At 42.7% G+C, this 24,454-nt stretch overlaps 2 protein-coding genes across 41 annotated transcripts in view, besides 6 other annotated features; both read left to right on the forward strand.

Annotated features, from left to right (window-relative positions):
• AMZ2 (archaelysin family metallopeptidase 2) overlaps positions 1–20,864 on the forward strand; it is a 51,036-nt gene extending 30,172 nt beyond the window's left edge. For 2 of the 30 annotated variants that reach the window (NM_001346473.1, XM_047436210.1), the window contains exons 2-8: positions 12,340–12,405; positions 13,888–14,170; positions 14,494–14,667; positions 14,750–14,878; positions 18,104–18,267; positions 19,400–19,576; positions 20,514–20,864. In NM_001346473.1, coding sequence (NP_001333402.1) covers positions 13,888–14,170; positions 14,494–14,667; positions 14,750–14,878; positions 18,104–18,267; positions 19,400–19,576; positions 20,514–20,669 — 1,083 coding nt within the window. In that variant the 5' untranslated portion in view covers positions 12,340–12,405 and the 3' untranslated portion in view covers positions 20,670–20,864. Of the gene's footprint in view, positions 1–11,353; positions 11,646–11,703; positions 12,406–13,885; positions 14,181–14,493; positions 14,668–14,749; positions 15,088–18,103; positions 18,268–19,399; positions 19,577–20,513 lie in introns of those variants that run through there. The other 28 variants (NM_001346472.1, NM_001346471.1, NM_001346474.2 and 25 more) reach the window with 27 other exon arrangements.
• Positions 1,838–2,087: an enhancer, noted in NCBI's record as "active region_12643". NCBI's record gives its function as "activates an Ori minimal core promoter by ATAC-STARR-seq in GM12878 lymphoblastoid cells {active_cell/tissue: GM12878}" and the evidence as "EXISTENCE:reporter gene assay evidence [ECO:0000049][PMID:35858748]".
• Positions 2,747–2,816: a silencer, noted in NCBI's record as "silent region_8896". NCBI's record gives its function as "represses an Ori minimal core promoter by ATAC-STARR-seq in GM12878 lymphoblastoid cells {active_cell/tissue: GM12878}" and the evidence as "EXISTENCE:reporter gene assay evidence [ECO:0000049][PMID:35858748]".
• Positions 10,263–10,809: an enhancer, noted in NCBI's record as "H3K4me1 hESC enhancer chr17:66242704-66243250 (GRCh37/hg19 assembly coordinates)". NCBI's record gives its function as "activates a minimal SCP1, AML or CMV promoter by ChIP-STARR-seq in primed H9 embryonic stem cells {active_cell/tissue: H9 hESC(primed)}" and the evidence as "EXISTENCE:reporter gene assay evidence [ECO:0000049][PMID:30033119]".
• Positions 10,810–11,355: an enhancer, noted in NCBI's record as "H3K27ac-H3K4me1 hESC enhancer chr17:66243251-66243796 (GRCh37/hg19 assembly coordinates)". NCBI's record gives its function as "activates a minimal SCP1, AML or CMV promoter by ChIP-STARR-seq in primed H9 embryonic stem cells {active_cell/tissue: H9 hESC(primed)}" and the evidence as "EXISTENCE:reporter gene assay evidence [ECO:0000049][PMID:30033119]".
• Positions 11,570–11,869: a silencer, noted in NCBI's record as "silent region_8897". NCBI's record gives its function as "represses an Ori minimal core promoter by ATAC-STARR-seq in GM12878 lymphoblastoid cells {active_cell/tissue: GM12878}" and the evidence as "EXISTENCE:reporter gene assay evidence [ECO:0000049][PMID:35858748]".
• Positions 13,179–13,228: a silencer, noted in NCBI's record as "silent region_8898". NCBI's record gives its function as "represses an Ori minimal core promoter by ATAC-STARR-seq in GM12878 lymphoblastoid cells {active_cell/tissue: GM12878}" and the evidence as "EXISTENCE:reporter gene assay evidence [ECO:0000049][PMID:35858748]".
• Positions 22,870–24,454, forward strand: part of ARSG (arylsulfatase G) — a 192,850-nt gene continuing 191,265 nt past the window's right edge. For all 11 annotated transcript variants that reach the window (XM_047435644.1, XM_047435647.1, XM_047435645.1 and 8 more), the window contains exon 1: positions 22,870–23,126. The gene's annotated coding sequence lies outside the window, so the exon portion shown is untranslated. The remainder of the gene's footprint in view (positions 23,127–24,454) is intronic.

Consider the following 24,454-nt stretch of genomic DNA (forward strand, 5'->3'; position numbering starts at 1 on the left):
ATGTAAATTTATATATAAAACTATAACATATGAACATGATATTATACTATGTATATGTTTGGTAACCCTCATTTTCACTCACTACAAAATAAATGTATTTTATATAGTAAGTATAGATTTACATAATTTTTTCAAGGTAAATAGTTAAAAAAAATAAAGCTAGTAAATGCTCATTGCAAAATAAATATTGCTAAAAAATATCAAGAAGAAAGTAAAACAGCACAAAAAGCCCTCCTTCTAACATTATTAACATTTGGCAAACATCCTTTTTTTTTTTTTTTTTTTTTTTGAGACGGATTCTCACTTTGTTGCCCAGGCTGGAGCGCACTGGGGAGATCTCAACTCACTGCAACCTCTGTCTCCCAGGCTCAGGTGATTCTCCTGCCTCAGCCTCCCCAGTAGCTGGGATTACAGGCACCCACCACCACATCCCAGCTAATTTTTTTTTTATATATATTTTAGTAGAGACGGGTTTCACCATGTTGGCCAGGCTGGTCTCCAACTCCTGACCTCAAATGATCCACCCACCTTGGCCTCCCAAAGTGTTGGGATTACAGGCGTGAGCCACCATGCCCGGCCCAAACATCCTTTTTTACACACATATACACCCATATTTTTATATAAATAGCTTCAAATTATATATACACTGCTTGGGACTTTTTAAAACATTTCAGCAAGATCTTGGGGACATCCTTCCATGATAATACGCATAGCATGAGATTGTTCTTTTTAATGACTACATAATATTTTATTGTGAGAGCATAACTTTATTGAACTTATGTATAAACACTAGTGGTGAGCATCCATCTTTCAGCTTTTCAGAATTAAAAACAACACTGTGATGAGCCATCCTTATACATGGATTCTTTCTGGAATAAGAAATAAATGGACTGAAAAATTAGAATGTACAATTCTAGAGGTCCCACGTTGTCAAATTATGTTGAAAAATGTGCACCACGAAAAAGTCTAAAAGTTCAGCCAAGATTCACATGGGTCATTTCTGGGCAAAAGGACCAGGCATGGTTTTGTTGTTCTTCCTATTCTTCTGTCCTCCTCAGCTTTTCTATTCTAAGTGTGTCCTTCGTTACGCTGATGCAAGTTGGCATTTTTACATTGCACAAGAATATATGGTTTTAATCCACGCAAGTGTCATCTCTGACGACGCTCTCTTTTCAGTTCCTCCTGCACCACACTTGCTCTCATCATCTGCTACAGGGGAGGGACCTGCTAGCCCCGTGCCTAAGTTAGCACCAGCAGGAACCCACAGGTGTTCAGTGGGGAGTTGCTGACTGCCTTGGAGAAGTGTATTTGAGACAAGCTGTTAATGGCTCACGGTCCTAGGGTAACCCCCTCGGCTGGCACCTGCATTTAGCACAGCAGTGAGCCAAGCAGTTTCCAGCTTTTGGGAAAAAAGCCTTGAGGGGTCCCTAAGGGCAAGAAGGCCTTTCCTGGCTCAGTCCAATCAGACACCTGCTGCGGCTGTGCTTCTTCTGGCCACAGGTCCCTGTCTTTGTTGGTTCCCTGCACTGACCTGGCCAAAAGGAAGCTGCTTGCTTCTGGGCAGCGGCTGTTCCCTCCCCCAGAAAGTCTAAAAGGACACAGAGGACGTCTTCAGTATTTCTGTATAGGTCACAAGTGAAGTGGGTCGCTGTCGCTGTTTTACGTTTGGTTGGTGCTGAGACACTTCCTCTTTCATATTTGTCTTATTCAGACCATCTCCTCCATCCCCCTTGGAGTCTGAAAAAGGCGAAATTGAAAGAAAAACTGAAAATTTCAAACCGAGCTACAGTGCAGGAGACCATGCTGTCATCCTGAAGCAGAGGCTGGGGACATCACCAAGAGGATCACAGCATCCTCCAGGGTTCAACTGAGGCCACTGACCCAGCCTTTTTCTTTTATTTTCTTTCTTTCTTCTTCTTTTTTTAAATAGAAATCAGAGTCTTGCTAGGTTGCCCAGGCTGATCTCAAACTCCTGAGCTCAAACAATCCTCCCACCTCAGCCTTCTAAAGTGCTAGGATTACAGGCTTGAGTCACTATACCCAGCCTGACCAGGGACTTTCTTCCTCCCCTCATTCGAACTTTCTTAGCTCCCACTCAAGTCTTCCTAAATGCTATGTGGTATTCTTGGGACTCCTAATTCCTAATTTTTCAGGAAGTGAAATGATATTCTTAAGGTAAAAACCAAAATCTGCTTTTGCTCAATTCTTTGACTTTACTGTATTTATATGCCATATGTATATATATATAGAGAGAAAGAGTGCATATAGATATACACACACATATGTACACACACACACACACAATCAGATTGTGGTAGCTTTTGGAAACTCTCTGAGGCACAGAAAATAAGTTGCCTGACAAGACATCAAAGAATTGCAAAAGAGACCACAGCCCCAAAGGCCTTACTGACTGCTTTGCGATTTGTAGCATGACTGCTGATAAGCATCTATTTGCTTCAGTAAATAGAGATGAAGTAGAATCATAACATTTGTTCCGGGAAAGAGTAACTAAAGTGGGAAATCATAAACAACAAAGCATAAAAAAATCTTAACCTAGTGGACTAAAAGATTTCTTGCTTTTTTCATTTCTGCTAATGGCCTCTCTCCCTTGGCACTGCCAGAACTGGTCCATTAAAGGTGAATCGAGCCTCAGTTTGCAGGCAGGACGTGGTCCAAAAGATCATTTGTAAGTTGGTTGTTTGGACCAAAGAATGTGTTTCCCCCTAGAAACCATTTTTCTCAGGGTGACTGGGTTCTCAGTTTTGCTTGTACAGTGCCGTTCAACTTCCACTGAAGCTGAGCTCTGGGTCTTTGAGGGCAGGTTCTCTGCAGTGCAGGAGGGAGAAAACAGGTCACCTGCTGCTGCTTTGCATAGAGCCCTGGCTCTGAGCACAATTTAAGCATAAATTGTTTTCTTTTCTACTTTCCCAACTCCCTTTTGGCATCCAGGTCCAGGGCCCTAGTCCCTGGATTGCAGCATCCTTTCCTAATGTGCTTTACCCACCTCTGGGCTGCTTGCCTGCTGAGGGGGGTCTGTGACCCCAAATTACCCACTTACTCCTGCTTCCTGACCAATCAGACTTCCATTTCCTCAGGGCAGTTGATATCAGCTAAGGGCCAGGGGAAAAGCAAAAGGAGCAGATATGAATTCACACTAGTAGGTGAATCATGGAGAACCTCTTAACCCTCTTAATGTCTTCTCGTGTTAAAACGAATTGGTTGTGAGACTTGAGAGTCCTTGTGGCAGTATGGGTTAGGGATGAACACGGTGGCTAAGGATTCAGAATTCACACACACATTAGTGGGACTCTTAGGCTCTTCACTGCACCTGCTTCCAGAACACTGGCAGTCAGTTAGGAAACGATCCTACTCTGGAAAAAAATGGGATGGTCACAGAGAAGAAACTTTCAGGTTCAGACACTGGGAGACTCCCCTCAGTGAATAAGCTGATTATCTGCCAGATCGCCTCTGAGAATAAGCCACATTCATGCACACAGAACCCCCCACCAGTTTTTTGTGCATCATAATGAAATCTTAACAGCCAAAGATTACCAGATGTTGATGGAAAGTTCTAACATGAAACAAAAAGACCAAACAGAGGAAACAACAGAACAAATCTTCAAAAGTAGTATAGTTACTATCTATAGAGAAATACGAAAAGACATTTTATCCATGAAATGAGAGGGTGTATTTTAGACTGTTTGGGATGCTATAAGAAAATATGATAAACTGGATGGTTTACAAACAACAGAAATTTATTTCCCACGGTTCTAGGAACTGGAATCCAAGATCAAGGTGCTGATCTGGTGTCTGGGGAGGGCCTGCTTTCTGGTTCAGAGATAGTGTCTTCTTGCAGTGGCCTCACATGGCAGAAGGGGTGAGCTGACTCCCTTGGGTCTCTTTCATAAAGGCACTAATACTATTCATAAGAGTTCCACTCTCATGACCTGATCACCTCTCAAAAGTTCCCATCTACAAATACTATCACATTGGGGGTAAGGTCTCAACATATAAATTTTGTGGGGACACAGACATTCAAACCATAGCAGGGTGCAAAATAAAATAATCATAACAAGAAAGGGATTTTGGCTATGAAAAAGCAGAATAGTTGAAAGTAAGTATTCAAAAGAAAAGATAGAAAATAATTGATGACCATAGTACAAAAAGATGGAAAAATGTGAGAGAGAGGAAAATCTGAGGATTCATTCTGAAAGTCCAACATCCAGCAAGAATGGAGGGCAGGAAATTATCAAAGAAATAATACCAGAAAATTTCTCAGAATGAAAGGATAAGAGTCTCAGTATCGAAGCGCCTGCTAAGTGAGCCACAAAATGAATGGGAAGAAAGGTTCAGGCTAAGGCACATCTTTATAACCCTTCAGAACTCTAAGGATAAAAAGGAGATACTAAAATCTTCCTAAAAATAACAGATAACATACAAAGGACTAGGAATCAAAATGGCATTGAACATCTCAGTAGCAACATTGGAAGTCAGAAGAAACTGGAGCAAACTGTTTATAATACTGAGGGGAAATGATTTGCAATCTAGAATTCCACACCAACCCAGATAAATTCTCAATCAAGTATGAGGGCAGAATAAAAACATTTTCAGATGTCAAAGATCTCACAATATTTATCTCTATGTACCTTTATTCCAGAAGGTTCTGGGGATGTGCTGCTGAAACCAAACGAGTCAGCCAGGAAAGAGGAAGACACAGAATTTAATAATTTAAGAAACAGGGGATCCAACAGAGCAAAGTGTAGTTGTAGTCCTAGGAACAGCTATGCAGTAGGCCCATGGACAACCAGTATAGATATGAATGGGGAGATGAAGTTACCCAGAAAAAAAATGTAACCAGTGTGCATGGGCCATGTAGAGAAGCATTAAAAAACAAAGAATCAGAGAATCATAAAAAATGAGGCACATGCATATTATATAATTTTTTAAGAAAATAAATAATAGAAATCAAGTGATGATTAACTCTAGGCAAAAATAAAGAGGTTCTACAAGAACGAAAGCATGGTCATGTACACTACTTGGCTCTGTAGTGCACAATGTTTGCATAATTATCATAATGTAAACACTGACCACCAGATTCAACCAAAATTTATGATAGAATCACAAGAGGAATGATAGGTGGAAAGTATGATGTATGAGAGTTAAGTCCTCATTTCTCATGGCAGTAAACTAACAGATGCTACCTAAAATTAAAAGATCAAGAAATCTCATTATACACACATTGTTGAGAAACATGGAGATAAATACCAGAAAAAACAGCTAAAGAGTTGAGAACAGTAGCCTCTAGGAAGATGGCCTATGGGGTGGGGACTATTACTTTTCATTACAATGCTTTTAGTACTTCTTAGCTTTTAAAAATGTGTACTTGGAATATTTTCATACATATAGTAATTTTATTATTATTATTACTATTATTATTATTATTGAGATGGAGTCTTGCTCTGTCACCCAGGCTGAAGTGCAGTGGCATGATCTCAGAACCTGCAACCTCTGCGTCCCAGGTTCAAGCGATTCTCCTGCCTCAGCCTCCAAGTAGCTGGGATTACAGGTGTGCACCACCACACCTGGCTAATTTTCTTTTTTCTTTTTCTTTTTTTTTTTTTTGTAGCAGAGACGAGGGTTCGCCATGTTGGCCAGGCTGGTCTCAAACTCCTGACCTAAGTGATCCGCCTGCCTCAGGCTCCCAAAGTGCTGGGATTACAGGCGTGAGCCATTGCACCCGGTCCATATAGTAATTTTAAAATAAAGTCAACAAATTAGGAAGACAAAGGATGGCTTGGTTGTTAATCTAAATGAATCTCTAGTTAGTGGTATGTTGGTGTAAGTAAAATTCAGAGACCATAGAAAAATAGATTGAGGAGCAGCTGAAAGGGTAGGCGGAAAGACAGAGGCAGGGAACCACCTAGAAAGCATGGAGAAGCTGTTATGCCTCAGGGTCATTTGTATATTTAGGAATGCCTAAATATTAATACATTACTGACTTGTTAAATTGTTTTCTGACTGTAAAAGTAATAATACTTATTGTAGAAAGTTTGGAAAATGCAAATTAATAACTAAAGAGGGACAGAGAAAAATCAAAACCACCAAATATCTCATTATTCATAGATTATTATTTATCAGCACTTTTTTTTTGACACAGAGCGAGGGCAGTGGCGCGATCTCGGCTCACTGCAACCTCCACCTCCCAGGTTCAAGTGATTCTCATGCCTCAGCCTCCCGAGTAGCTGGGATTACAGGCGTGTGCTACCATGCCCAGCTAATTTCTGTATTTTTTAGTAGAGATGGGGTTTCACCTTGTTGGCCAGGCAGGACTCAAACCCCTGACCTCAGATGATCTGCCTGCCTCAGCTTCCCAAAGTTCTGGGATTACAGGCATGAGCCACCGTGCCCAACCAAGCACATATTTTTAAAACAAAAATAAGATTACAATGTATAGGCCAGGCAGGGTGGCTCATGCCTATAATCCCAGCACTTTGGAAGGTGGAGGCATGCAGATGTCTTGAGCCCAGGAGTTCAAAACCAAAACAAGCCTGGGCAACATGGTGAAACCCCCTCTCTACAAAAAAACACAAAACATTAGCCAGGTGTGATGGTGCATACCTGTAATCCAAGCTACCTGGGAGACTGAGGTGGGAGGATCACCTGATCCCAAGAGGTCCAGGCTGCAGTGAGCCGTGATCACACTACTGTACTCCAGCCTGGGTGAAAGAGTGAGGCTCTGTCTCAAAAAAAAAAAAAAAAAAATTACAATGTGTAAACATTTCTGTGTCACACTTTATTTCCCCTTAGCATTTCTGTAGGTCACTATTGTCTTTGAGAAATGATTTTTTTTTTTTGAGACAATCTTGCTCTGTCACCCAGGCTGGAGTGTAGTGGTGGGACCACAGCTCACTGCAACCTCCGTCTCCCGGGTTCAAGCAATTCTCCTGCCTCAGCCTCCTAAGTAGCTGGAACTACAAGCATGTGCCACCATGCCTGGCTAATTGTTGTATTTTTAGTAGAGATGAGGTTTCACCATGTTGGCCAGGCTGGTCTCAAACTCCTGACCTCAGGTAATCAGCCTGCCTTGGCCTCCCAAAGTGCTGGGATTACAGGCATGAGCCACTGTGCCCAGCTGAGAAATGATTTTAAATAGATGCTTAGTATTCTAACATATGAACATACATGTAATTTATGGTCTATGATTAATAATTTATGCTTTTCCAGTCTCCAATAGCTGGATACTTTGATTGTTTCTAATTTTCATAATTATAAATAATATTTTGGTGACTATCCTTAACCATAAGTCTGTGAGATCTCTTATTGGGTCAATAGGTATGAACATTTTAAAAGCTATTAATACTCCATGTCAGGTTGTTCACCAGAAAGATTCGACCTGTTTATACACCGTTCTGCCAGGACAATCTACCATCATTGGACATTATCATCAAAGACAACTTTTTAGTAACCATGTTAATATATCACACATTCAAAAAAAGATCAAGGTTGGGGGGAAATTCGTAAAATGGAATGCAAACAAAAATAAATGAACCTAACTATATTTCATGTTAATAACAATACTACAGTGAAGGGCAGAATTGGGAGGGGGAAGAACTAACCCAGGTAGGTAACTGGGTTTTAATATATATCTTCTGGCTATAAAGAACCTTAAATAAATACTAATTGGTAGAATTGTTTTCCTGCAGTGCTATGGATTAGGAATTCTGAAATTATTTTTAGTACATATTCTAGTACAGAGCAAATAAATAAATTGTGAATAACAGGAGCCAGGTTTCTCTCTACTGGCAAAGGACATCATACATATGGAAAAATGGAAGGCTAGAATGAATGAACTCTGTGGTGTCAGGCTGGACTGGTATTGAAAATGTCAGTATGGACTCATGTTTTAGTTGTACTGTGGCTACTTATGAACTGTGCTTGATTTTTGGGAATATACTCTGAGATATTTTGGAGTGCAGGGCATCATGTCTACAATTTACTTTTTTTTGGAGACAGTCTTGCTCTGTTGCCCAGGCTGGAGTGCAGTGATGTCATCTCAGCTCACTGCAACCTCCGCCTCCTGGGTTCAAGCAATTCTCCTGCCTCAGCCTCCCAAGTAGCTGGGATTACAGGCATGCAACACCATGACCCACTAATTTTTGTATATTTAGTAGAGACGGGGTTTCACCGTTTTGGCCTGGCTGGTCTCAAACTCCTGACCTCAAGTGATCAACCCACCTCAGCCTCCCAAAGTGCTGGGATTACAGGCATGAGCCACCTCGCCCAGCCTGTAATTTACTCTCAAATGGTTCAGGAAAACAATGTATATTTTCATATAGAGACAGAGATAAAGACACAAAAAGGATGAGAATGATAAAGAAATGAGGTAAAATGTTAAGTACTGGGGAATCTGGGTGAAGAGAATGCAGGGATTCTTTATACTACTTTTGCCACTTTTCTTTTAGCTAGAAATTATTTCAAAACAAACAGCTTGGCCAAATTAGCAGGTAAGAAAAAATTATTAGTGTTTTTTATTTTATTTCATTCATGTGTTCAGTAAAGTTGAACACATGGATGTTAATGGACCATTCGGGTTATATGGTTCATATTTTTTGCTCATTTTTATGTCATGGTGTTTATCTTTTCTGTGCTGATTTGTAAAAGCTATTTTAAAACCCTTCATCTGCCATATATGTTACATTTCTTTCCTGCTTTCTGCCACCTTCCAATTTGTTACCAACTTTCTTCTCCAACCTTGGGCCACTGGCATATACACTCATTTTAAATATCAGAACTTGTAGTGCTCTTTGAAATGCAGACAGACTATGGTTCATTCTGCAACTGCATATTAGTTAACAGGCAAAAATACCTTAGTAAGAGAAAGTGTCTTTTCCTTCTAATGTAAAAAAAAAAAAAAACCTAACCCCCCCGAAGCACTAAGGTGTTTATTTGTTTATTTTTTTGAACAGGGTCTCACTCTGTTGCCCAGGCTGAAGTGCTGTGAATCACAGCTGACTGCAGCCTCGATCTCCTAGGCTCAACCCATCCTCCCACCTCTGCCTCCCAAGTAGCTGAGACTACAGGCATGTGTCACTACACCTGGCTTTTTTTTTTTCTTTTTTCTTTTTTTTTAGAGATGGGGTCTCCCTATGTTGACCAGGCTGGTCTGGAAGTCCTAGGCTCAAGTGATTCTCCTTTCTCCTGTCTCAGCCTCCCAAAGTGCTGGGATCATAGGCATGAGACACCATGCCTGGTCAGTTATTTAAGAAAATAAATATTAGACCATGCAGAAATAATGCTATCCTAAAATTTGTGAGCAAGTACAAAGTTCATGATTTAGAAATTTAAACAGTTTAAACGCAAAATGAAGTTCTTTTTAATGAATACCAAAAAACTGACTGAAAATCTAGTGAATACCTTTTATGCTTCAGACACCTCGTATAGAGAGTCTTTACCCTCAAGCATCTCGCAGTTGAGTAAGGGTGACATGTAAGAAATAGGTTACAATCATTGTGACAAGGACAACTGCAGTATTATTATGTACACACAAGGCAATGAACAGGCAGAAGTAAAGTTTTGTCATGAGGCAGGATGAGGCTATAGAAGAGGTGACAACTAAGCTAAAGAAGCCACTCAGGATGTCAGAAGACAGCTGTTCAGTCAAAAACAGGCACAGTATCCAAAGGAACTCATTTGATCCCTAAAATTCTGTTAAGATGTGCTGTAGGTGGGGCGCGGTGGCTCACGCCTGTAATCCCTGCACTTTGGGAGGCCGAAGTAGGTGGATCACCTGAGGTCAGGAGTTCAAGACCAGCCTGGCCAACATGGTGAAACCCCGTCTCTACTAAAAATACAAAAATTGGCTAACATGACGAAACCCTGTCTCTACTAAAAATACAAAAAAAAAAAAAAAAAAAAAAATTAGCCGGGCGTGGTGGTGTGTGCCTGTAGTCCCAGCTACTCTGTAGACTGAGGCACGAGAATCGCTTGAACCCAGGAAGCATAAGTTGCAGTGAGCCGAGATCGCACCACTGCACTCCAGTCTGGATGACAGAGCGAGACTTCGTGTCAAGTAATAATAATAAAAAAAGATGTGCTGTAATTGTCTCCGTTTTACAAAAGAGGTCAAGTAGTTGACACAGGTCCCACGCTAGTGAGGGTTTTGGGATTCAAGCACAGACCACCTTCGCCCCTATGCTACACCACCTCAGGCTGTCGGGAGATAGGCGCCCAGTCAAAAGGCACATGGAAGAAAGCCCACGACTTCTCAAGCATTGAAGCAGGAGTGGCGCATCGGTATTCTCAACTTCAAACTTTGAGAACAGTCATGGTAGGAATGCATTTTATTCAAGAATGGGTTCAGGTGAGGGTGGATATGGGCACTGGGTTCAAAGGACAAATTTGGAGAATTCATGATCCAGGAGAGTGAACAAATAAGGAAGGGCTAAAGAGATCCTCGAAGTTGAAAGGTTCAGAGTTAATGTCCTCTAAGGAGAGCCAACAAGGGGTTACAAATGCTGAAGTCATCAAGAAAATGTGCCTGTCTTTCCTTGAGACTGGGAAGGAGAATTAGGATGACGAAAATCCAGAGGATGGTAAAATAGCTTGACTTCAAAATAACAGGCCGGGCGCCGTGGCTCACGCCTGTAATTCCAGCACTGTGGGAGACCGGGGTGCGGGGGGGTGGATCACCTGAGCGCAGGAGTTCGAGACCAGCCTGGGTAACAGGGTGAAAACCCGTATTAAAAAAAAAAAAGCCGGGCGCGGTGGCCCACGCCTGTAATCCCAGCACTTTGGGAGGCCAAGGCGGGCGGATCACTTGAGGTCAGGAGTTCGAGACCAGCCTGGCCAACATGGTGAAACCCCATCTCTACTAAAAATAACAAAAATTAGCCGGACGTGATAGCGGGCACCTGTAGTTCCAGCTACTGGGGAGGCTGAGGCGGGAAAATCGCTTGAACCCAGGAGGCAAAGGTTGCACTGAGCCCAGACTGTCCCACTGCACTCCAGCCTGGGCAACAGAGCAAGACTCCGTCTCCAAAAAAAAAAAAAAAAAAAAAAAAGCAAGAAAAAGAAAGAGAATGGCGAGGCCCAGAGAGACCGAAAGTCCCACCAGAGGGTACAGAGCTAGCTCAGCCCTAATGCCGGCCCCGCGGTGCCTTTCCGAGCTCACGGCCTCCCCTCAGCATCCGGGTTTCGGCCTCGGAGCGCCAGGGACGCCACGAGGACGCGCCCCACACTTGCGCTTCTGGGTTCCAGCCCCCGCGGCCCCCAACAAATAAAGAAGGGAAAGTGCTGAGGGTGACGGCCCCGGGGAGCGCTGCGGCTCTACGTCAACCTGCGGCGGCCGCCGACTCATTTGGGGCCACGCTGGTTGCATTCGTCACGCCGGCGATGCCTCTCAAACCCGCGGCCTGCCGAGGACGTTCCCACACGGGAGACCCCAGCGACGCGGGCGCATCTGTGGCTCTCGAGAACCGGGCCGCGGAGCCGCCGCGAGCGCAAGCGAGGAATCGGCGACTGCGGGGGTGGACAGCTGGGGCTTGTAGTCCCCTCGCTACCCTCTATTCTGGAAGAGGCGGGTCGCGGCCGCTGAACTCCAGCTCTGCGCCTGCCCAGGCGGCCGCACGCTCAGGGGCGTGGCATGGGTGGGTCGTGAGTTGGGCGGGGCCCACAGGGCGTGCGCGACGCAGCGGCGCGGCGCGTGGCGTAAGGGGCGTGGCGCCAGTGGGCGTGGCGTGGCGCAGTGCGAAGGGACGCGGTGCGCATGCGCGTGAGGGCTGCCGCGGGTGGGTGGTATCGAGGCCTGTCGGGTCAGGGCGGTTCGCGGGTGCTGTCAGAGCTGGGCCGGGGCCCCTAGGCAGGGTAGCCGGGTCGTAGAGGCGGGGGCCGGTCGCGGTCGGTGGAGCGGGATGAGGATGTAGGAGGGGCGGACGTGGCGGAAGCCGCGGGGTCCGCGGGGTCGGTGCCTCTAGGGAGCCAGGGAGGCCTTTCCCGAGGCTCCTGGGGAAGAAGAGGCGAAGCGAGAGTCCCTGGGGAACCCCCACTCCACTCCCAGCTGGAGACTGGGTTGTGTCTGCATGGACCAGAGCCCACAGTGCGAGTTGCTATAGGCAACCAGCCAGGGTGGCCAGCTCCTTCCCGTTTGCCCGTGATGTTCTGGTTTTGGGACCAAAGCATCCTAGGCCTCCAGCCCACTGCAGTGACCGAATTCTGCGCCCCCTGCCCATCTTCTCCCGCAGCTTCCCTAGATTAGGCTTGGGAGGCAAGAGGAGGCCTCCTGACCTTTCACACTGCCTTTTTAATATTAAGATGAAGTCACACTCCACAACTTTCTTCCAGCCAGGCCCAGACATGTCCGTCCTTGTAAGTTAAAAGCTTCCATGGGAGCCTTCCTTCCTAATCAAGGTAGGTAGACTACAGGAAGGTACATCTTGTTTTATATTTTGTCCTGTAGAAGTCAGATTTCAGCCCAGTTGTGTAGGAGTGAGGATGAGCCTATGCTTATATCAGAGCTTTGAGTACAGAGACATTTGGTCTGGAATTTTAGTCAGCCTCTTCAACCCCAGAATTTATAGGTTCAATCAGAACAGACATTAGCTTAAGTTTTCCCATCAATCGTCTATCATTAAACTGGCAAAATCTAAATAATTAGAAAATATGACAAAGATGATCCAGACAGAGATGTTCAACTTTTTCCTTAATTCAAAAAGCCTCGTGGTGGAACATCGGACCCATTCAAGAGGAAGGATGAAAGCTCTATATAGGAACACGATGTGAATGGAAGAAACCTGTCATTGTGAGGCTGGCTTTTGATTAGTCATCTGATGTCTTCCCTAATGTGACATGACTTTGAGGCCATAAACTTCAGTGGCTAAGCTGTAGTTTCTCAGCCTGCAGTTAAATTGCAGAAATGATAGGGCTTACATTAGTTTTGTTTTTATTTGATGTTGAAGATCTTTGAGTCACATTAGAAACGATGAGTATTTTTCATGTGGCACTGATGAGTTAATTCATATTATTATTTTTTGAGACAGAGTCTCTATTGCCCAGGCTGGACTGCAGTGGCACGATCACGGCCCACTGCAGCCTCGACCTCCTGGGCTCAGATGATCCTCCCATCTTAGCCTGCCAAGTAGCTGGGACTACAAGTGCACATCACCACATCCGGCTAATTTTTTTGTAGATATGGGGTTTTGCCATGATGTCGAAGCTGATTTCAGACTCCTAGGCTCAAGTAATCCTTCTGCCTTGGCCTCCCAAAGTGCTGGGATTATAAGCGTGAGCCACTGTGCCAGGCCAATATTATTCCCCAAAAGAAGGAAGTTGGGTGTGAGGTCCTGCTCCTGTGGTCACCGTGAGGTTTTTTTTTTTTGTTTTGGACTCTTGCCCAGGCTGGAGTGCAGTGGCACAGTCATGGCTCACTGCAGCCTCAAGCTCCTGGGCTCAAGTGATTCTCCTGTCTCAGCCTCCCTGGTAGCTAGGACCACAGATGTGCACAACTATGCCCAGGGAATTTTTAAATTTTTTGTAGAGACAGGGTCTCACCATGTTGCCTGAGCTGTTCTCAAACTCCTGGCCTCAAGCAATCCTCCTATCCCAAAGTGCTGAAATTACAGGCATGAGCCACCACACCTGGCCACCACTAGTTTTTGTAATGGGAGCAGGTTCCATATGAGATGGAGGAATGGATTTCATGATTGTCTTTTTAATTTCTTAGATCTCCAAGAAATTGGACATGAGGAAACCACTCTAAGTGTGACCACTCTAAAGCATTAGCAATCAGTCATTTCACTCTAGGGAGAAATCAGAGCTGAAATATAGAGGATAGGTAAAGTCCCCAATGTAGATATGTATTTTTATATTTGATTACTTGCTTTTTTTTGTTAGATGCAAATAATACGGCACTCCGAACAGACACTAAAAACAGCTCTCATCTCAAAGAACCCAGTGCTTGTATCACAGTATGAGAAATTAAATGCTGGGGAACAACGTTTAATGAATGAAGCCTTCCAGCCAGCCAGTGATCTCTTTGGACCCATTACCTTGCATTCTCCATCAGATTGGATCACCTCCCACCCTGAGGCTCCCCAAGACTTTGAACAGTTCTTCAGTGATCCTTACAGAAAGACACCCTCTCCAAACAAACGCAGCATTTATATACAGTCCATTGGTAAATACTGGTAATGTGCTGGTTTTGGTTCAGTTTTGCAGTGGCGCTCTTGTCAGGAATAGTCCAGGCTATGGGTCTGATTCAGATGGGCCGTTTTAGGATCGTTTTTGATATTCATTGCGGCGGTACAAGTTTTGTAGCCAAACTGACTTAAAAGATAACATTTTGTTTCTTTTTGTTTCATAGCAACACCAATGAATGATAAAGGTTATTGAAAATTTAGAGTTGGTTTTGTTTCTAATTTGAATCTTCTTACTCATAGACTGGGTAAACACTGAATAATCATCTTAAAGTCTGTTTTTAAATGTTCTTCCATATTGTAGGCTCTCTAGGAAACACCAGAATTATCAGTGAAGAATATATTAAATGGCTCACGGGCTACTGTAAAGCATATTTCTATGGCTTGAGAGTAAAACTCCTAGAACCAGTTCCTGTTTCTGTAACAAGATGTTCCTTTAGAGTCAATGAGAACACACACAACCTACAAATTCATGCAGGTGAATTACACGACTTTGCAATTCGAACTGAGTATATGTATATAATATACACTCATACATTTATGTATTTCTTTTTAAATAGGGGACATCCTGAAGTTCTTGAAAAAGAAGAAACCTGAAGATGCCTTCTGTGTTGTGGGAATAACAATGATTGATCTTTACCCAAGAGACTCGTGGAATTTTGTCTTTGGACAGGCCTCTTTGACAGATGGTATTCCGTTTTTGGCATTGTTGTTAGAAGCTTCTTCAGCTTGAGAATATTTGAAGATGTTAGAAGAGGGAAAAAATTCCAACCAAGAATCATATTGATATTTAAAATATTTTCAGTTGAGACATTATGCCATAATGGGAAGTGTGCTGTTGGTAGATTGTGATAATCTAGGTTCTGGTTGGCCACTCACTACCTACAGGACCTTAAAGGTAACAATACCCACATCATGGAGTCATTTGGAGATAATTTACATAAAAGTGCCTGTACATAAAAAGTGTGGATAAGCCTGGACAACATAGACCACATGTCTACAAAAAAATAAAAATTTAAAAAACTAAATTAGCTGGGCATGGTGGCACATACCTGTAGTCCTAGCTACGCAGGAGGCTGAGGTGAGAGGATTGCTTGAGCCCAGGAGGTTGAGGCTGCAGTGAGCCATGATCGAGCCACTGCACTCCAGCCTGGGCAATAAAGTGAGACCGTGTCTCAAAAAAAAAATGTATATATAGGCCTGGCATATATATAGGCATACAGCATAACAGCTAGTAAATGTCAGTAATTCAGTAGCAAGGTGAATTAAACCAATTACAGTTTGAGCTATCAATGGATGTGAAAATCTTGCTAATTATTTTTCAATTCTTTTCATAGTCATCTTGCACAGTTAGAATAGCCATAGACTAAGTGTATGCTTCTTTCTCATCATACGACATTTGTTTTTTAATTTAAAGAGTCAAAACGTCCATCTTTGATTTGAGATATGTAATAAACCTTGACTCATTAGGAACTCTGTATGGTAATATTAGGGATGGGAAAGGTTCTGCAAACCGGTCATATTTTTAACCTTTTTTTTTTTTTGTCATCTCTCTACTTCTCCCCTCCCCTTAATTATTGTTCTTATTTCTCTAACTTCATCCCTAAGAATCCAACACAGACTTGAAAGGGAAAAGGCCCCCTAAGGGGAGTGGTTCATTAGTGTTCTGGGGATGGGGAGTAAGTACAGGGACTATCCTGAGAGTTTATGGTCTGTCTGGATGTTACATTAGCCTTAGGATTTGTGTGGGGTGGTAAGCTTTTTGGGACAAATGTTTCTACTAGAGGTGGGGGCTGTAGGGTTATAGAGCCTCTTCCCACTTACTCCTTTATTCTTTATTCTCCATTTATGTGAGGTTTCTTGTGGCCCCCATGGCCCTACCAGCATGCACTCTTGGAGACGTGGGTCACTACTTTCTTACTGATTTTGGTGGTGTGAGGTAGCTTTTTATCATAAGTTTTCTCTTTTATTATTAACCTGATAGAGATGGAAACATTGAAAAATAATTCTATCTACCTTTTATTTTTCTTTTGAGACAGAGTCTCCCTCTGTCACCCAGGCTGGAGTGCAGTGGTGTGATCATGGCTCACTGCAACCTCAACCTCCTGGGCTAAAGGGATCATCCTGCCTCAGCCTCCCGAGTAGCTGGGACCACAGGACCACCACACCCGGCTATTTTATTTTATTTTATTTTTGGCCAGATGGGATTTTTTTTGGCCAGATGGGATCTCCCTGTGTTGGTCAAGCTCATCTTGAAGTCCTGGGCTCAAGCGAGCCTCCCATCTCAGCCTCCCAAAGTGCTTTGATTACAGGTGTGAGTCACCACACCCAGCTAAAAAAATAATTTTAAAACCATATGTTCGTTTATCTAGATATTGCTAGCTAACTTATCTTATGTGTTTGAGGAGGTCAGGAAACATTTCCCCAAACTGTATTTACTTTAATTCTTTTTTTGGTAAGTTTCTTAAATATTACATGACATAAAAGATTTACATAGGAAAGTAGCAGGATTAGACAGTGACAATATCTTAACACAGTGGTCTTGTTTTCTCCGAGTTTACAAAGATTGATATTTTTAAAGTGAGACGCATTGACTACGAAAAAAATAGTCTATTTGTAGGATTATTGGAAGAAGGAAATGTCCTTGCTGAAAGTAGTGAAATATGCTCACACTTGATTGGCCAGAGGGGGTTACTTGTGATAAAGGAATAGATTTAGTGTGCTCTTAATTTCCAGAATGCTATCTTTGCTTAATTTTCAAATATCAGTCTACATTTTCTGGGTAAAGGGAGGTGAGGAAGTTTGTTTTTGAATCAAATTAGATTGGACAAATCTACTATGGGTTTATTACTTTAAAAACTGAACGAGAGACATAAATAAAAGTGATCATGTAAACAAGTCGAATTATGAAGCAGTACCCTGTAGGGTGAGTTATGTAGCAAACCGTGTTCTCTGTGCTTGCAGAGATGGTTGATATAACTCTAAATGTAACACAGGAAGTCAGTTACAAGGGTATTTATTCTGGTCACCAGACACTAGTGACAGAATAGAGTTGAGCTGTTCTTTGAAAAGGGGGTAGGGTTGGGGAAGGGGACGAGGTTATTCTGTCAAAAGCCGTGGTTTAAAGCATGGGCTTCAAGACATCAGGGGCAGTTGTCCTCAGTCAGTGCTGCGTGAGGGAAGGCCAGCAACCCCTCCAGACACACGTGTAACAGATCTGTTTAGTGTGTCCTTAAATAGTGAAATCATGACTTCCTATTGTTCATGTGATTTTTTTTTTTTTGAGACTGAGTATCACTCTATCGTCAGGCTGGAGTGCAATGGTGCGATCTTGGCTCACTGCAACTCCGCCTCATGGGTTCAAGCCATTCTCCCGCCTCAGCCTCCCTAGTAGCTGGGATTACAGGCACCTACCATCATGCCTGGCTAATTTTTTTTAGAGACAGGGTTTCACCATGTTAGCCAGGCTGGTCTTGAGCTTCTGACATCAGGTGATCCACCTGCCTCGGCCTCCCAAAGTCCTAGGATTACAATCGTGAGCCACCACGCCCAACCCATGTGGTTATTTTTTATGATTCCTTTTTGAGTACTTGATTTGGAGTACTTGCTACTTTCAGAAAAAGACTTCTTTTGTGGGAAAAGACTCTCTGAAACTTCAGTTTCTCAAGCATTTGACCTCAAGTCCATTAAGTTTTACAAGGCAAGGCAAAGTGGATAGCAGCAAAAGATTTTGATAGGGAAATCTGGGGCAAAAGTCTTCCTTTTTGGTGGCAAACCATAAGTGTATCAGATGGTGTGGACACAGTGACACAGAGATGCACTCACTGGCCAGATGGGCCAGCAGTCTCTTCTTTCTTTGGTCTTTCTTCAGGGACCTTACTCTCATTCTGTCACTGTTTGTCCTTTTTTTGTAGGTGTGGGGATATTCAGCTTTGCCAGGTATGGCAGTGATTTTTATAGCATGCACTATAAAGGCAAAGTGAAGAAGCTCAAGAAAACATCTTCAAGTGACTATTCAATTTTCGACAACTATTATATTCCAGAAATAACTAGTGTTTTACTACTTCGATCCTGTAAGGTAAGTTATTACAAAAATCTGACAGGACAGTTCTTTAAAAGAGATCTTAGTTCCGTAAACTGTATATTGTCAGTCCGTAAGGTAATATTATAAATGAGTTTGTATCATTTGTATAATTTTGGTGCATAGTGCTTGACTGAAATGATCAGTAAAACAATTTAAATGGATACCTTCATATTGAAATTTACAATATCAGTGCCAGTTTTTCTGTACTACTAGTTACAGCCTTGGCTGTACCCATGTGCTATTAGTGTAATTCTGAATTCTGGTATGAGTGGGTAACCTACTTTTTCAAGCTACTGTGGTCATTGGGCAAAGCTGCTTTCCCCAGGCCTTTGGAGAACCTCTGCTCTGGCCTCTCTGGGAGCCTGGGCCTTCCTGCCCTGGGCTCCAGGTTACCCTCGACTGTAGTTGTCCTGGCAGTTCCTGATATCCCCAACTCGGTTTTGTGGAAAGCCTATCTCCCCTTTCTCCATAGCCAGAGAGATGGGCTTTTCCTTCAGCTAGAGAAATTCTGCTTTTACCTGTACTATTTGTTGGGGTTTGACAGCTACACCTCTGAGAACTACATTCTCACAGTGTGTTTCATGGGCCCCCTGTGTCATTGCCACCTGATGTTCTCATTAGCATGCAGATCAAGCCCCCTTTCTCCCAGACCTACTGAAATCAGCATCTCTAGGGGAAGAGCCCCAGAATCAGAATTACAACAAGTACCCTAGTGTAGATCAAGGGTTCTCAGCCAGGGGTGATTTTGCCATCCAGGGAATATTAGCAACGTCTGGAGACATTTTTGATTTTCACAATCAGGGAGGGAGTTCTGTTGGCCTCTAGTGGGTAGAGCCAGGGATGCTGCAAAGCATCGCACAGTGCACAGGACAGCCTCCCACAACCTGGTATTATCGGTCCAACATGTCAGCGATGTTGAGGTTGAGGAAGTCTATAGCAAGAAAGGCAGTAAGACATTTGGGGAAATGAGGGATTATTAAGTCTTTGAAGGTCTGGACAGGGTGAAGTTTTGGTGGTAATGGTAAGGGAGTTGATTCCTATGTTTCTTGGAAAAGCAAGAAAAAGAAGAGACGTGTAGCCTAATGTGATGGTGGTCTTATAAAGCCTCAACATGATTGTCTTGCAGACTTTAACCCATGAGATCGGACACATATTTGGACTGCGACACTGCCAGTGGCTTGCATGCCTCATGCAAGGCTCCAACCACTTGGAAGAAGCTGACCGGCGCCCTCTAAACCTTTGCCCTATCTGTTTGCACAAGTTGCAGTGTGCTGTTGGCTTCAGCATTGTAGAAAGATACAAAGTAAGTTGGGGGGTGGACAGTCTAAAGAGGGGGAAGTGGTTATCTGAGTAGCAAACCCATGTTTCTATTATATCCTTCTCTGGAGTTATAATTTATCAGAGGAAATTAGTGTAAAGATAAGCAGGAAGCTGCGGTTTAAAAATGTGAAGAAATGCTCTTCTTAAAAACTTCAGCTTGCCTTTGAGTGATTTATGCTTACAGTTCAATGAGAAATAGTGGAAGAAGTTTCTTTGCTTCTCTTCCATTTAGGGCAAGAGAGCTTGACTTTGCAGAACAGAATAAATATTGATATGTGTGGCAGAGTTCATTTTTTAAACCCTATAAGTGTGTGGACAGGATTTACCTTTCCAAATATGGGACAGAGGTATGATGTTCATTAGGAGGAAAAAAATGATTTTCTTTAAAAAGGAAGAAGGAAAGTACCTAATCTCAGTATGTGTGTGTGTGTGCCCACACTTGCCCACAAACATCAATATACATTCATGTGTCTACTCATGGGTATGACTGCATTCAGGTGACTGCACAGAAATGTCTACACATGTGTTTTCACATACATATGTCTACCCATGCCTGTGTGGACACTTATATATGTATATACGTACATGTCAAAGTAATATAATGCCTTGTGGAATATTTAGCAAGTTGAGAAAAAATAACATCCTATTATGCTAGAAACAAAGTGTAAGAATGAGTGTATTTCTTTTTCATCTTTTTTCAGTGCGTACTTTTGACATCATTTGTAATTCTGTGTGTATTTGGTACGTGCCATTTCACTCAGTATATCATTAGCATTATTTCATATTCACACCATCATTATCAAATGCAGCGTCTTCATGGGGTAATATGTCACCCTATGATCTAGAAGCCAATGCTTCTCTCTTGCCTGATGGTATTTTGCTGTGGTTTGTTGAAGTGCGCATCTTTCATGTTTTTCCAGGCACTGGTGAGGTGGATTGATGATGAATCTTCTGACACACCTGGAGCAACTCCAGAACACAGTCACGAGGATAATGGGAATTTACCGAAACCCGTGGAAGCCTTTAAGGAATGGAAAGAGTGGATAATAAAATGCCTGGCTGTTCTCCAAAAATGAGGACCTTCAAATAGGAGTGATTGAAATAAATAACTACTTGCATGTTATGCTTTCATTTGGGTGGAATACTTCATTGGAATAAACTACTGATCTTGTGCTGTGTCAAAGTAACAGACTAGAACCTTCTTTCAAGTACCTGAATTGAAATGAAACTCATTTTGAATAATAAAAACTCTAGAAACTCTTTATCTTCTCATCTTACTGGCCTGGTCTGTGGCAGCAAGCACATTATTTCCATTCCCCAAATATGTTTAGGTCTCCCAAGAAAGCTGGGACTGGCGGTAACGAGCAAGTAAATAACTTGAAAAAGAACCGTTCAATGCCCCAAGGAACCAACCAACATAATTTCCAGGGGGTGATTTTGTTTTTAGAAGAGCCGCTCCCCTCTTTTAGGCCCAGCCAAGTCACATTTTTGGACGTCCGTGGGCTCTGATCACCACAGCCCTCCTTTTCCGAGAGCCTACCTTACTGTCTCAAGTGCATTACCTTGTTTTTTTCTCTTGCTGGTTGTCACCTTATCCCTGAAAGAATGAACAGCTTGTATCAGTTTTTAGCAGCTTAAAATATGACCTATCAGGAATATTTGCAAGTGAAAATAACAATGGTCCTTACACTACCACAACATTTGGTGGTGGGAGTTCCGCTGCAGGTCTCAGCTATAACATAGTCATTTATGAGGGATCTTACAAATAGTGTGTAATGGTATTTATATTTGTGAGTGTTGCACTTTTTCTATAGATTTAGAGCGGCTTTCAGGTTTATTTCAGTAATAATGTCCTCCTCACATTACATTGTGAAGTGTTTACCTGAGTCAGGGAGAGAGTTTAATGGGGTTATCTGTCGGGGTGCCATGAATGCTGATGATGGTCTGCAGGGTGTGAACATCAGCCCCATTGCTACGGGGGTGGACAGGTGGAAAAGCTCAGACTTGACAAACCACCTCTGCTAGATAGATGTATCTTGGAAATCCAGAAATTACAGTGAATATTTTATGGAATATCAGTGAGCAGACAGCATTTCCCACTTTCCTATCTTACCTTGAGGGTAAGACTTAAAGGTATATATGTATTTGTAATTTGAAACCTGGATTCTTCATTGTTTGATGTATGCAGTATGATGTAACAAAGTATAGAAATGATCCCTGAAAGTATAGTCTTTGATGTATGGAGTATGATGTAAGGCACATTTCATATCTGAGTCAGTGGTTTCCCTTGGAGTCATTCTACTTGATTGAACCCATTTAAGTCATTTTAGAAAATGGTGGTTTGCTATTAAAATTAATTGGAGAGAATACTTGGTCATTCTATTAGGAAAAAGAGACTGATGGAGCATGGTGTTTTATGGATTCTGTTACAGGGCTTATTCCTCCTTGAATAATGTATTTAAAAAATTATTGTCCATTCGATTACATTTTTTTTTATTTTCCTACAAGGCAAGCACGGTTTTAGTCCTGTAGGTCAGCCTTTGTCACAAACTCTTTTGAACTAAGATTTGCCTAGTTGAATAAATAAGGTCCATTTGTGTCTACACTGCACTATGAGACTAGGAGAAAAATCATCTAAGAAGTCATTCACTCTTGCTAAAAATTGAACTAAACATAAATTTTATATGATTCATTTGTTCAGCAATCATAAGTGCTGTGTATAACTATATATTTTTGGATAATTTCTTAGGGTTCAGCTTAAAAATATAATTTGCTTACTGCAACTAAATTTTATGTACTATGGTTAAATCTTTGTGGTTTTAAAAGATAATTTTCACTAAATAAATCCACGCAGATTTTGCTCTGCAAATGCTGGCTGAACAAAGTATTGAGCTAATAAAGAGAATTAATAATTTTCTACTATCTAAATACTCTTAAAAATCAGTGAATTTGGAATGTTTTTCATTTATGTCATAGATCCTGATCCTGGGCACCTGTGGAGTTAGTATCTCTCCGGTCAAGAGATTTTTCAGGCCTCAGACTTCTAATGGTGAGGGTTAAGTAGAAGAATTTGTCGAGGATTACCCGTCGGTTCTTGTCCAGCTTGCTTTTTGAAGCACACATTCCCCTGATATGAATAATTTACATTTCAAGCCCTACGAGGGACAGAGGGCCGCGTTGCTCCCTCTTGGGAGCAGCAGTGCTAAAATCGAAGCAGGCAGCTGCGGGACCGCTATAGCCGGCCCTGCGCTCGGGCCCTTCCCGGGCAGGAAACGCGTCGCTGTCCCCGGCTGCGCCCAGGCCGGCGGGCCCAGCAGCTGCGAACCGCCGGCGCACCACCTGTTTCCGCGCCCGGGGACTTCCCCGGCGGGGCTCAGAAGTGTGGGATCGGTCGCTTGGCTTCCCCTGGCGTCAGCGACCCAGGGTAACCTCCTCCACTGCTGCGTGCCGTGCAGGCCTGCCTGTGTGAGAGCCACGTGTGCCGCGCTCTGGGCACAGCCTTGGAAAGTCAGGACCGCGACGGCAGCAGAGCAGTGAGTGGAATTAATTCTCAAGTAGAGCATTTAAAAAGTGCTTCATTGAAGAGTTTGAATCTCAGTCACTTTGTAGATTCTGATATCTAGAGTGGCACCGTCCAACAAAAATATAATACAAGCCACATATGTAAGCTTGATGTTTCTAGTAGTCGTATTAGCAAATGCATAAAGAAGCAGGTGGAGTTAATTTTAATAGTATATTCTGTTTAATCCAATGCATCCAAAATATTATTTCAATCAATATCAATGCTGAATGTTTTATGTCCTTTTTTTGTACCATCTTCAAATTCCCGTGTGTTTGTTACACTTGCAGTACATCTTACTTCCAACTGGCCACATTTTCAAGTGCTCAACAGCCCCATGTGGCTTGTGTCTATTGTATTGGACAGTGCAGCTCTAGACCAGTACCCAACTCTAGTGTACCTGGAAAAATGTACCCGTGGTATTGAGTTACTAGGAGAGGAAGGCTTATTTCAGGAAAAGGTCATGTAAATCTTCTGTCAGTACAGCCGGTGTTGACATTCAAGCTGAAAGGGTGTATGTAGACACCGTTTAATGTCTACATTAAAGGCCTCTGGCTTCGGTGTTAACTTGTTTCTTTAAAAGCTTGATACTGTTCTCTGTTGCAGCTTGTTTTTTACCCTCCCGTCTTCATTTTCAAGGGCCTGGTATTGTCTTCAAATGCATTTCCATTTTTGGAAAGCAGAGTCGTAAAGCATTAATAATGTGGAGATTATTTAGTCCATTTCATGCATGAGGACACAAGCCTGCAGCAGCCGAGTAAACTTGCTTGTTGTTTAACCAATGGCAAAAATGGGATCAGATCCCAAGTCTCCCTAATGTTGAGTTATTCGTTGTTTTCACTGTGCTGCATGACCTCATTGAAGTAAAATATCACCAACCAGAACCTAACCATTTTTCCCCCGGGTTGTTTACAAGGGATTATACACGATTAAACTGTCAATTTCTTTTCTGTTCAAGTAGAGTCATCTGGGGTTGCTCAAAGTTGGAGAAATCAGTCTATATACTTCTGCCTTAGTACCAAAAAAAGAGAGGTGCAATATTTATTTATTTTTGAAATAGGGTCTTGCTCTGTTGCCCAGGCTGGAGTGCAGTGGCATGATCACGGCTCACTGGAGCCTCCACCTCCCGTGGTCAAGTGGTCCTCCCACCTCAGCCTCCCAAGTAGCTGGTATTACAGGTGTGCACCACCATGCCCCGTGTATTTTTTTTATTTTTATTTTTTAGAGATGGGGTTTTTTCCACATTGTCCAGGCTGGTCTGGATTCCTGAGCTCAAGCAATCTGCCTGCCTTGGCCTCCCAA

Source organism: Homo sapiens, chromosome 17, assembly GCF_000001405.40.
Source record: "Homo sapiens chromosome 17, GRCh38.p14 Primary Assembly".
In the NCBI taxonomy this organism is placed as follows: domain Eukaryota; kingdom Metazoa; phylum Chordata; class Mammalia; order Primates; family Hominidae; genus Homo; species Homo sapiens.